The sequence below is a fragment of the Homo sapiens genome, chromosome 7 (genome assembly GCF_000001405.40).
Source record: "Homo sapiens chromosome 7, GRCh38.p14 Primary Assembly".
Taxonomy (NCBI): Eukaryota; Metazoa; Chordata; class Mammalia; order Primates; family Hominidae; genus Homo; species Homo sapiens.
In genome coordinates this window covers 35007283-35021079 of record NC_000007.14, presented here as the reverse complement: position 1 = coordinate 35021079, position 13797 = coordinate 35007283, and the positions used below count along the sequence as shown (strand labels likewise).

At 36.6% G+C, this 13797-nt stretch overlaps 1 protein-coding gene across 3 annotated transcripts in view; it reads left to right on the top strand.

The window, feature by feature from the left end:
* The window catches only part of DPY19L1 (dpy-19 like C-mannosyltransferase 1), a 109161-nt gene that overhangs the window by 16962 nt on the left and 78402 nt on the right, over positions 1-13797 (top strand). For all 3 annotated transcript variants that reach the window (NM_015283.2, XM_011515246.4, NM_001366673.1), the window contains exons 2-6: positions 2484-2508; positions 3111-3198; positions 7375-7512; positions 9630-9750; positions 10519-10612. In NM_015283.2, the coding sequence (NP_056098.1) occupies positions 2484-2508; positions 3111-3198; positions 7375-7512; positions 9630-9750; positions 10519-10612 (466 nt within the window). The remainder of the gene's footprint in view (positions 1-2483; positions 2509-3110; positions 3199-7374; positions 7513-9629; positions 9751-10518; positions 10613-13797) is intronic.

Sequence of the window (13797 nt, the reverse complement as noted above, 5' to 3'; positions counted from 1 at the left end):
CTAATAGTAAAATTATAAAACAGGAACAAAATTATTATATGTAAATAATACTGTTTAAAATGAAGAATTAGGGCCGGGTGTGGTGGCTCATGCCTGTAATCCCAGCACTTTGGGAGGCTGAGGCGGGCAGATCACCTGAGGTCAGAAGTTTGAGACAAGCCTGGCCAACATGACCAAACCTTATCTCTCCTGAAAATACAAAAATTAGCCAGGCATGGTGGCATTTACCTGTAATCCCAGCTACTCGGGAGGCTGAGACAGGAGAATCGCTTGAAACCAGGAGGCGGAGGTTGCAGTGAGCCAAGATCATGCCACTGCACTCCAGCCTGGGTGACAGAGCAAGACTCCTCAAAAATAAAATAAAATGCAATAAAATGGAGAACTGAAGATAAGTTTAAAAAACTATATGAATTAACAGTTTAGTAAATGAACCAAAAATAAATACATTGCAAAATAAATACTCTTCAAAAATAAATGCCTTAACAATATCCAATAATGTATAATAAAAAACATTTTATGAATATTAGCAGGAAAAAAATGTTTAACTCCCAGGAGAAACTTCATAAGAAATGCATATGTTAACAATACCTGTAGAATTTTTCTCAAGGACTATCGAAAAACAGTTTGAACAATTGAAGATATATGTTATGTATATATACACATACCTATATATACAACATATGTATATACCCACACCACATTTATGGATATGAAGGCTCTATATTGTAAACGTGTAAATTCTTCCCAAATTAATTTTATAAGTGAAAATCCAATTATAACCTCAGAGTGATTACCAAAGTAGAAGCATGGCAAGTCTTCAGTATGATAAAAGTTGCATTTACATTCAATGGGAGAAAAATAATTTATTCAGAAAATGATAGTTGAATCATTGTGAAAATAAAGACCAAATTTTATTATGTTAGGATTATTATTATTTTTTTTCTTTAGAGACAGGGTCTTGTTGTGTCATCCAGGCTAGAGTACAGTGGTGTGATCATAGCTGACTACAACCTCAACCTCTTGGACTCAAGCGATCCTCCCAGCTCAGCCTTCCTGAGTAGCTGGGACAATAGGCTCGTGCTTTGTAAAGACCTGATCTTGCTGTGTTACCCAGCCTAGATTTAAACTCCTGTCCTCAGCTGATCCCCCTACTTCCTCCAGCCGAGTAGCTGGGATTATAGTCATGAGCCTGGCAGATAAAGTTTTTAAAGACAGAAACTAAAAGGAAGCAAATGGTAGATTTGTTAATAAGAAAAAAATTTAAAATTTCAAAAGATCAATATATCTTATTAAAAAAAGTCAAATGACAAACTAAGTTAGATATTTGTAACTTCAATTATCTAGAAGTAACCATTCGTATTTCCAAGGCAAAATGGATTTTTAAATGAAAAAATATAACTGACTTTAAGAATAAAACAATAAGATCTGATCTATTTGGTTTTCATTTTTCTTTCCTTCTCTTCCTCCTTATTCTTCCTTCCTCCTCTCTTCTTCCTTCTTTCCTCTTCCTTCTCCTCCTCTTCTTCCTTCTTTCTTCTTCCTTCTCCTTCTCTTCTTCCTTCTTCTTCTTTCTTTTTCCTTCTTCTTCCTCCTACTTCTTCTTTTTCTCTTTCTTTTGTTTTTTTGAGAAACAGAGTCTCAGTATGTTGCCCAGGCTAGAGAGCAGTGGCTGTTAACAGTCATAGTCATAGCACACTGCTGCAGCCTTGAATTCCTGGGCTCGAGATGATGCTGCCTCTGCTTCCCCAGTAATGGATACTACAGGCATGTGCCACTGTATCTGGCCTGGGTTTCCTTTCTAGGAGTATTTTCATAGGTTGATTCCTTAGTTAAGAGTTATTTAATCAGAAGCCTGCCATCAGCTGTATCTTGTGAGATAAGAAAATTGAATGGTGTCTTCCAGGTTCATCTTAGTATGTTCTTTCTGCTTGGACAGATAGCAAGGTATTGATTTTCATATGAGACTGATTTTATTACTAGCTTGTTTTCTCTCTCTTACCTTTTCTTCTCCTTTACTCATTTCATTTTAAATTTGTTTAAAGACACGGGTTAATATTTGTCATAAAATTTCAGGCATTGCAGCAGTATATCAGAAGTGGTAGTTCCCTTTTTTCTTCCACCCCCAATCCTGTACCCCTCAGCCACCATATTTCTTTATTCTAAGTTATCCTTACCTGTTGATTCCATTCCTCTCTCAGTTCTATTAGCAATAGTTTCCATCTAATGGTTTCTGTCTATTAGCGGATATTAGGCCTTCATATATTTTGTTGAATGAGTGAGTGAGTGAAAATGGTGGCTGTATGCTTAATTCCCTTATGAGCTAGTCAATCACAATTTTAAACGTAGCCCTGGGACTTTTTTGAAGACCCAGTATTCTTTTTTACACATTTCAATATTTGACATGCTTTATCTTTGAAATGGCTTTTCTGTAAGATGAACATGTTTATGCTAAAATTCTAATTTAAATTTCTTTTTTCTTACAGCTGTTTTTGCAGCAGTGTTGCACTGGTAAGATTGTTTTTTTCTCCTATGGTATTTTATGCAGACGTTTATAACTTGCTAAAGCTATTTCCCATACATTTAAAGGAATAATTTCAGCATGATCAGTATGAATATATATTACATGTAACACAATAGTCTGAAAAACTAGTTTAATTGATAAATCAGGGTCAGAATAATATAATTGTTTAATAAAAAAGAGATTCATTATTAAAGAGGCTATATTTGAGACTCCACTCAACATTAATATGTTCATGGTGAGAGAGAGATTAATTTATTTAATCTTCTAGATAGAAATATGAATTTCATTAGATGTTTCTAAAATGGTAACCCAATGACATTTACAGTTTAATCTATACTTTTATTGTACTTCACTTAAAATATTCTGGTTCATTTTAATTTTAAAATCTAATTTGATTTTTTAGAGAGGGAAATTTTAGTATAAATGCAATACATACTGAGTGAAAAAAATATAGATACTATTGTATTTGAGTGTTATTACAAAATTATCTGCAAGTTAACTGATACTTTTATTTTTGCTTTTAGCTTACTTTAAAAAATAATACTTAGAGTGTAAGTTTTAACACTATTGCTTTGTTTTGTTTTTCCAGGAGCCATATAACACACCTCTTTGAAAATGACCGTCATTTTTCTCACCTCTCAACATTGGAAAGGGAGATGGCTTTTCGCACTGAAATGGTTAGTTTTTATTTGGGATTTCATCATAGTACTTTAGGAATTTAAAAACATTTAATATTTTTTATTATGGAAAATTTCAAGATGTTCCAAAGTAGAAAGAGTAGATGCTCCACCTTCTACAGCTGACAGCCACAGCCAGTTTTCCTTCATCTACACCCCCACTCACTATGTCTTTTTTATTTTTTATTTTTATTTATTAATTTTTTTTTCGAGACGGAGTCTCGCTCTGTCGCCCAGGCTGGAGTGCAGTGGCTCCATCTCGGCTCACTGCAAGCTGCACCTCCCAGGTTCACGCCATTCTCCTGCCTCAGCCTCCTGAGTAGCTGGGACTACAGGTGCCTGCCACCATGCCCGGCTAATTTTTTTTTTTTTTTTTTTTTGAGACGGAGTCTCGCTCTGTCGCCCAGGCCGGACTGCGGACTGCAGTGGCACAATCTCGGCTCACTGCAAGCTCCGCTTCCCGGGTTCACGCCATTCTCCTGCCTCAGCCTCCCCAGTAGCTGGGACTACAGGCGCCCGCCACCGCGCCCGGCTAATTTTTTGTATTTTTTTAGTAGAGACGGGGTTTCACCTTGTTAGCCAGGATGGTCTCGATCTCCTGACCTCATGATCCACCCGCCTCGGCCTCCCAAAGTGCTGGGATTACAGGCGTGAGCCACCGTGCCCGGCCAACTATCTCTTTTTAAAGGGAATCCCAGACATTATATCATTTCATGCTTTCATACTTTCATAAGTGTCTCTAAAGATAAGACTTTGTTTTAACTATGGCACAAAACCATGGCACAAGACATACTGGAAAACATTTAACAATATCCTTAATATAATCAAATAGAAATCAGTATTTAAATGCCCTGTTTGGCACTTTAAAAAAAAAAAAACAAAAAAACAGTTGATGTGTTTGAATAGGATCCAAACAGTGCCTACACATTGCATTTAGTTGATGTGTATCTTAAGTCTTTTAATATGTGAATTTCTTTACCTGTTTTTGTTTTGTTTTCCTGCTATTTGTTTGTTGAGAAATCCAGCTGATTTGTCCTATAGAATTACCCACAATAATCCTCATTCTTCAATTATGTTCCTGTATCCCAAGTTTCCTGAACATTTATGGATCAGAAGATTTGACTTATTTTCTGGCAGGAATACTTCCTAGGTGGTGCTGTATACTTCTATTGTATCAGGCCAAGAGGCACATCATATCTGGTTGTCTCACTTTCTGTGATGTTAAGAGTGATCACTGGCTTTAGGTATTGTGATGCTGATTCCTCCTATAGCCTAGCCATCAGCCTAGGTTAGTTATTTCATTATCCTTCTCAAACTGTGGTACCTAATCTATCATTTTTTTCTTTGCACTTATTAGCTATAATTCTTCTATTAAGAACTTTCACACAATACCTTTTGATTTCTCCCTGAGGTATATCATAGAGGAAAGTCAGAAAGATGCTTTATTCTTTCTTTTTATTTACTAATATTCAGAAAAATGAGTAGCTTCCCTAGCATCTTCTAGTAGTGATCAATGGAGTACCTTCTTTTGGAGTATCATTATGATATGATGGATTTTAACATATTTTGTAAACTTTCCTGTCTTTAGCTATTAAAGCCCTTGCAGCTCTCCTTGTTTGCCCTTGATGTGACCTCACTAGTATCCATGGCTTCCTTACTTTCAGGTACTACAAGACATTTTCTTCTCAGACCTGGCATCAGCCAGTTTTCCCATGAGCCACCATTTCTGTCAGTGGCAGATGCTCATTGCTACTAGATTGGCCATTGTATTTTGGCCTTTTTACTGAAGAGAATTAGGCTACAAAAATTTTTTTAAAGAGAAAAGAAATCATGAATTTATATTAATTTTTTAAATGGAAACAAGATTAGATTTTTTTTTACTTATTTGATATTAATCTTTTAGTTTGAGAATCTTGGTTTCAAATTATTGATTTGTTAGGAATAAAAGTACCAAAGGTATAATTAAAAATGTGATTACTGAAAAGAGTTTAAGATTTTCTTGCAGTTCGCTTCTTCACAGGGCAACCCCCAGAATTGGGGCTCAGCCCAGGAGGCCATGTGGGTTCTTGGCTTTGGGCAGGAAGGAATTCAAGAATGCTCCAACAGAGTAAAGTGAAAAGAAGTTTACCTTAAGAAAGTAAAGGGATGAAAGGGTGGCTGCTCCACAGGCAGAGCAGCTGTGAGGGCTGCTGGTTGATTGTTTTTAAGGTTATCTCTTCATCATATGATAAACAAGAGGTGGATTATTCATGAGTATTTTGGGAACAGGGAGGGGAATTCCTGGAACTGAGGATTCCTCCCTCTTTCAGACCATACAGGGTAACTTCCAGAGGTTGCTATGGCATATGTAAACTGTCATGCTGCTGGTGGGAGTTTCCTTTAGTATGCTAATGTATTATAATGAGCACTAAGGATGACCAGAAATCACTTTAGTTGCCATCTTGGTTTTGGCAGGTTTTGGCTGGCTTCTTCACCGCATCCTGTGTTATCAGCAGGGTCTTTGTGACCTGTAACTTGTGAAACCAGTCCTGCCAAGTTCCTGGGCTCCATTTTAACCTTAGGATATAGTCCACTAGGGATATACAGTAAAATTACAGTATCTTAATGTTACTTGAAATCTTCTTCCAAGTTGATAAATAGTTAATTCCTTTCTTTCATTTTTATTTTGATATTTAGGGATTTTTAAATTTTTGTTTTATAATTAAACATATGTTTCCAAAATCAAACCTACAAAAGAAGGAAGGTATAGTTTCCTAGGGCTGTCATAAAGAAGTGCAACAAGCTAGGTGGCTTAAAACAGCAGAAATATATTCTCTCACAGTTCCAGAGATTAGCAGTGGGACATTAAGGTGTTGACGGGCATCTTGTCTCTGAAGGCTGGAGGGGAGAGTCCTTCCTTGTCTCTTCTCAGCCTCTGGTGGTTGCTGGCCATCCTTGGAATTCCTTGGCATGCTGATGCCTCACCCCAGTCTCTGACCCCTCTTCACATGGCCTTTTCCCCTGTGTGCCTGTAGCTTTGAGGCCAAATATTCCTCTTTATGTAGGTACATCAGTTGTGTTGGGTTTAGAGTCCACCTTAATCCAATATGACCTCATCTTAACTTGATCACGTCTGCAAGAATCCCATTTCCAAATAAGATCACTCCACAGGGTCTGGTGGACATGAAATTTTAGGGGACACTATCCAAATCAGTACACAAGGAAACATAATTTTAAAAATAGTGGTATCAGAGTCGATACATCAGAGTATCAAGACCATTTTTTTCTTTTTCAATAAGTTTCTGGATAGGCATATCTCTTTTGTATTTGTGAGTCTTAAACCCAGTTTAAACTTTGGCAGCTACTGGTACTGGCTACCAGGGCAGCTCCAGGGAAAACTGAAGATGCAAATACAAGACGTAGATTTATCTTGTGTTTCTGTCTTCCCTCATACTGCCACTTAGACTCTCCGTTAGGCTTCTAGTATTTTCTTGTTTTTTTTTTGTCTCACATATTATTTCACCCTTGCTATCTTTCCAAAGTAGTGTGCCAAGCTAAAAACTGTCTCTTTTCTTCAAAAGAGGACCACTCCCCACCCTTATCCCCAGTCGCACAGGGTTCTTACCTTATGCTGACTTGATAGGAGGGAAAATAATCTGTAAAATTAGGTGGCACCCGAGTGAAATTCATATGTAATAATACATCAGTGTGTAGCCTTCTCAACACATTTGCATTTTTGCATGTAAATCCGGAGGAAAAATGACTGATAGTGTCATTTTGGGGATTAAAATAAGCAGTTAGAGGAGTATTTTTGGCTTGAGATTTCTTGGTTCATGATAAATTTTAGTTCCATAATAAACCACTCACTCTATTCATAAGATAGCATTTTCTAAGAGTGATATTAGTATAAGTAATAGGATTTTCTAAGTTGAAGTATGCTGAGTCGTATTATTTTTTAAATGCTGAAACTTTTTGAAGCTATTTTGCATTCAGTTATTTCAATTAAGATGCATTTATGTGAAAATACATAGTTTTTTCACAACTTTAGGATTTATCAGTGATCAGAAACCTGTGAAATTCATTGTATTAATAGCTATTACTTAATTGCTTTGTTTTTCAAAAACAGTGTATTTACTTAGAAGTGGCATCATAATTATGTACCTTTTGTTATTTTAATTGAGCATATCTTTATTTCAGGGACTATATTATTCCTATTTCAAGACTATTGTGGAAGCACCCTCATTTTTGAATGGAGTATGGATGATTATGAATGATAAACTGACTGAATACCCCCTTGTCATTAATACATTAAAAAGATTCAATCTTTACCCTGAGGTAAGGTACTTTTTCCAATTGTGATTTTTCACTTTTGTAAAAACTTTTTTGTATTAAACGCTGATTCTAAATCTAAGATATAATTCAATATATTAAATTGTATTTAATTTTTTAAAAGAAAATATGTATCTTGTGGAGGAATATGTAAAAAAGATCATTACTGATTTTGAGGAGAGGGCTTTAATTCTGTGGGGAACTGTTGATTTGATTGCATTGTTTAGAAAATATAAAAACTAGATTTGGTGTGCTTACAGGGATTATACCAAGGGAGCGCTGTTACTTTTACATGTCATTTGTTAAATGTTTTCTTCCCTTTCCTCATTTAATTGAGTGCACTTTCTTGAGTGGGAGTGGAGGGAAGGTGAGCCCAATCCAGCAAGTGGAGATGACATTTGGCCTCTCCTTTATCCTCCTTGCAAAACTATAAATTTGTTGATGTGGAACTCTAGTTCAATAGAATATATATTTTAATGATTTTGTCAGAAGGCTTTCCAGATAGATATTGAACTATCCACCAGCAGTGTTTTTGAAACTACTTATTTACCTGCATCTTTGTTAATTGGATAGACAAATTGGTCACGTGATGTATTTCATTCATTGATTTTATATATATATATCAGTGTTCTCTATATATGTATATATAACACACATACATATATACATAATGCATTTTTACTTTTAAAAATAATTGCCAATTCATGCCTTTCATCTATATTTCTGTTAAAATTTTATAAGTTCATTTATTATATACTGGATATTAATATAATGCTATATAATGAAACATTTTCCCCAGTTGTTTGCCCTTTAGCTTTGTGTATGATGTCTATGTATTTTTTTCTATACAGAAATATATCTTTGAATCTTTTTTGTCTTTTATACATACATGTAAAAAACTTCATTTTTATAATCATAATTTTTTTTAATTTACATTTTTAATTTATCTGGAATTGGTTTTGATGCATAGTGTGGGGTAGGAATCTAACCTTGAATTGTTTTTTGAAAATGTATTGTGTGTAACCTAACACTGATGAGGTGTCCATCCTCTCTCCACTGATTTGAAGTAAGCTTTTTTCTTTATATGCAAAATTATTATACATACATGCTTGCACGTGTTTCTGGATTTTGTGCTCAGTATTGCCTTAGGTTGAGGTCCTGGAAAGTGGACTTTGAGATGGAGATTTGCATGCAGGAAGTAGTCGAGGGAGTGTCCTTAGGGCCAACACCTGAAGGGGGATGAATGAAGCAGAATGAGGTAGGAGGAAGAGGAGAGCTTTGATACAGTCACTGTGAAGGCCTCATCCAGTCCCTGGGCAGCTCTGGATCTGGGATGGCTTTGCAGAGTTGTCCTACCTTGTGAGAAGGGCCCCTGGCCTTGATGTCTTTCCCTATTGACTAGTCGGTCATCAGATGCAGATTGCCCGTGGGTAGGGGATGTCACCTTGAGTGAATTTACTTTCTTCAGCCATGGGCAGTTCCCATGGAGGGACACAGCTTCAAGCTTTCAGGCACCAGTCTTCTAACCAGCTGGAGGAATGAGTGCCTCAGCCCGGAAGAGGGAATCTGGGGTGGCTTGCCACCGCTTGTACCATGGTTATTGATCTGTCTAGCCATTCTTGTGCCAGTATCACACTATTTTAATTATTAAAAGTGGTAAGACTTAATATCTGTTAAAACATTCCCTTTAATTTTCTTGTTAGTTTTCTAGATACATTTTAGACACTTGGAATTTTGACTGGAATTATTTTATGTTTATGAATTAATTTGAGGGAGAATTCATATCTTAAATAATTCGGTCTATTCCAGTAGACCCAGTATCTTTTACTTGTGCAAATCTTCTTTTGTGTCTCTTAGTAGAGTTGTAGAGCTTTTGAAAAACATAAATTTAGCACTTTTTTTTGGCCCATATTTTGTCCTTACCCATGGATGAACAATTGAAAACTGACCAGTGAAGAATCTGCCTAGGAGATTCTGAGCCTTGTTTTACTACATTTAAAGGGAGCCAAGTGGATGGTATGGAAAGGGAAAATATGGTAATTGTCAAAGTATCTCAAAAGTATTCTAGTAATGAAAATTGTTTAGTATATTTTCTTAAGATGCCTCTGTATTTTTTAAAATAGGTAATTTTGGCCAGTTGGTACCGGATTTATACCAAAATAATGGACTTGATTGGTATTCAAACCAAGATATGTTGGACGGTTACCAGAGGAGAAGGACTCAGTCCTATTGAAAGCTGTGAAGGTAAGTTTCTTTCTGTAATATTGTCCAGTTATCTGTTGTAACATAATAAACTTATCTAGCATAATAAACTTACACTGTAAACTTAGTGGTATAAACAACACCCATTTTATTATGCATATATAGATTCTGCAAGTCCAGAATTTGGGCAGGCTTTAGCGGGGCTGGTTTATGTCCATGATTTCAGGGACCTCTGCTACTAAGACTCAAATGTCTGGGAAGGCTGGAATTAACTGAGAGGCTACATTGCTCACATTTTGGCTCCTGGGCATGGAGGACTGTGAGGCTGAGCTCAGCTGGAACTCTCAGCTGGGACACCTACATGTGGCCTTTCGGGGTGACTTGGGCTTTTTGAAAGCAAAGTACCTCAGAGTAGTAGTAAGGCTTTTCCTATGGCAGCTGAAGGCTCCAAGCTGGACACTGTATGACCTCTTATGACCTAGCCTCAGAAGTCACATAGTGTTGCTTCTGCCATACTCTGTTGAAAGAGTCACAAGCCCAATGAAACTCAAAAATGGGGGCTATAGACCCCATACCTCCAGAGGAGGCGTATCAGTGAATTTGCAGCCCTGTTTTAAAACCATCATTGCTAATTACCCTGGTCTCATCTATGTTCTGCAGTAGTGTTGTGTTTTCATGTGGGAACCAAGGCAGCTATTTAATATATCTGGCAACCATTTTCAAAATGAACACAATTTAATATAAATTGCTAGACACGTAAGGTAATTTGGGTTAATGTGATTAGAACATATGTTTTGTTTATTTTTAAAGGATTGGGAGATCCTGCTTGCTTTTATGTTGCTGTAATTTTTATTTTAAATGGACTAATGATGGCATTATTCTTCATATATGGCACATATTTAAGGTAAGAATATTTTAGTATGTGTTTATAAGATATACTAAAATAAAATAGTTGATTAGTTAATAGTTAATCATTGATTAATTTATAGTTCAGTTTTATGAAAATATCCTAAAATATCTTATTATCATAAAATTCATTATTTGCATGATTTCACCACTGCCATGGCCCATCACACTTAAGATAGTTTTAGAGATGTAAATAGAATTGGGAATACTTGATAAATTTAATTACTTTTTTTTTTGAGACAGGGTCTCACTCTGTCACCCAGGCTGGAGTGCAGTAGTGTGATCTCTGCTCACTGCAACCTCCGCCTCCTGGGTTCAAGCGATCCTCCCACTTCAGCCTCCTGAGTAGCTGGGACTATAGGTGCACGCCACCAAACTCAGCTAATTTTTTTGTATTTTTTGTAGAGACAGGGTTTGCTATGTTGCCCAGACTAGTCTCAACTTCCTGGGCTTGAGTGATCTGCCCATCTCAGCTTCCAAAGTGCTGGGATTACAGGCATGAGCCACAGTGCCTGGCATAAATTTTGAATATTCATAGGCATTTGAACATAAGCAATATATATTCCATATATTGTTATGGAATATCTAATATATTGTTATGGAACAGTATATTCCATTTGCTGTATGTACGTGTATACGTGTGTGTGCTGAGATGTGTGAAGTCTTACTTCTTACTGTAGTTTTGGTGTAAAAAAAGTCTGTAGACTACTGCTTAAGGTAACATGAGGGAGCAGCTTTTACCTTAGAGCATTTGGGTCTTTCTAGATGGCTGTCTGTGGTTCTTCTTCCAATGTCAATGGCTGTAGATGGTTTCAGCTCCATCCAGTATATATTGTTTACATAAAATATAAGGGAAAAGACCACTCATTATCAAATGATATTAATAGCTCTTTATTAATGTTAAAGTAGAAGTATCTTCTATGTAATATTTAGAAGTGTCTTCTGTACAATATTTAGTATCTGACCTGATTTACTTTACAGTTGAGCAGCATTCCTAAAACTAAAAGACTAATTTTTTAAGGCTTTTTATGTTTACTTCTTTTTTGCCAATTTATTATTCTGTATATATGTTTGAAGTATTTTACCTTGAGATTATCTTTAGAATTTTCTTCCTTGCTGCTTATTGATTCTTTGTAGTACAGAATTATGAGAATTGTATATGATTTTCAATTTGGGATAATGAGTTTGAATTTGCTATTATCGCATTATCTCCTTTCCTTTGGAAGTGTGGCATTTTCAGTTTAGTACCTCAAAGATGTGTTGAGTTTCTAGCCCACCGTTTGAGTATCTAGCAGTTACTTGATAAGCATTTGTCAAAAGAGGAAGCTGTTAGAAGATCAATGTAAAATATATTTGCATATAGATTTAAGACACTTTGATGTTACTATTTCTGACTTAGGTCTAAGAAAATTCTTTTGTTTAATTGGGGAGACTAAAATAAAAATGCATGATTAAAAGATGATTGTGAAAGATTTTGTTTTTGAAACAAGATGCAGGGAAATAAGTTAAACCAAAAGAATATGGTAATGAGAAAAGGAGGCTGACTTGAGGGAAAGTGGGCCTGTGTGCTTGCATCGTAATGAGCCAGAGGGAGAGAAACTTGGTGGTGTCTATTCATTTTGCTGAGTACTGCCCATCTGTCTATGGGTAGCTTTATTACATTTGGGAGATTAGATTTTACATAAGAGAAGTTAAAATATGAAACATGGCATTACTGCTAAGCTGCTAATCTGCACTTATGCTACCCTTTTTTTAAAAAAATATGGGGTCTTGCTATATTGTTACCCAGGCTGGAGTCTAGTGACTATTCACAGATGTGGTCACAGAGCACTATAGCCTCAAACCACTGGCTTCAAGCAGTCCTCCTGCCTCAGCCTCCCAAGTAGCTGGAACTACAAGTGTGTGCCACCATGCCTGGCTACTTTTTTAATTGAAAGAAGAATTTGTAAACATCCGTTAAAGCATTCACATTTTCTTGTAATGCTTGTTATAACTGTTTTTTCAAAGGCAGAAGGCACAACATCTACTGAAGAGAATAAAAGTTCCTGGTTTTGGTTGAGGGGTTTTTGGTGGTTTTGGCCCTGACCTGACCTAACCCTGTGGTGCCTGGTAGACAGTTTTTTGTCTACATGGGAGATGCATATTCAGTTGTTCAGTCAACACACACTATTCATACCAAGTAGTTTCTTAAAACTCTGGGCTCTGAGAGCATGGGAGTGCAGCAGGGTGTGTGTGAATGGAAGATAGACAGGAAGGAAAAATTAAGTGCTTAGAACTTCAGAGGCAGGAGAAATTTGTTCTGCATGGAGGGGCTACTTTAGTGTGACCTTGTAGAATCAGAGGTATTTGAATAGGTGGAAATAAACCATGAAGATAAAAGCATACCAGGGAGAGACAAAGGCCAAAATCTAGTATGTGGAAAGCAGGTAATAAGCAGATCAGTTTTGCTGGGATGCATGTTCTTCAGGGAGTGTTGTGGAGGATTCAGATTGGAACAGAGGTTGTGCTGGATGATGAAAGGCCTTGGTAACTGACTGGGTTGAAACCTATTCCAAAGCAAGTGAAATAAGTACAAAAATTGACCAGTATAAGAACAGGATTCAAGCTGAAGTATGATCTCATAGAACACTTGACTTTCCCCAGTCCCCAAAGTCAAGCAGTGACTACTTCAGCACAGTGTTTGTCAAATTGCAGGGCATCACTTATTAGAGAGTTTTAAAATTGATTCAGTGGGTTGAGCCCATTTCATTTTAGATGAAGAAAAAAAAATGCTGCAAAGTAAATAATATCATATACCACACTAATAAGGATAGATACTATTTAGAGAAACTTCTATTTGCTATAAATATATATATACACACACACACACACACACACCACACGTGTGTGTGCTGAGTTGTGTAAAGCCTTCTTACTGTAGTTTTGGTGTAAAAAAGTCTGTAGACTACTGCTTAAGGTGGCATGAGGGCAGCTTTTACCTTAGAGCATTTGGGTCTTTCCAGATGGCTGTCTCTGGTTCTTCCAATGTCAGTGGCTATAGCTTGTTTCACTCTGCCCATTTGACTGCTTTGTGCTTTAGCTGGCCCCTTCTGTGTTACCCAACTCTTGGACCCCATGGTGGTCTGCACTAGCAGCACATGTTTTCATTTTTCCAGCTTTCCTTTTGTGTTTGTGGGCTTTTTC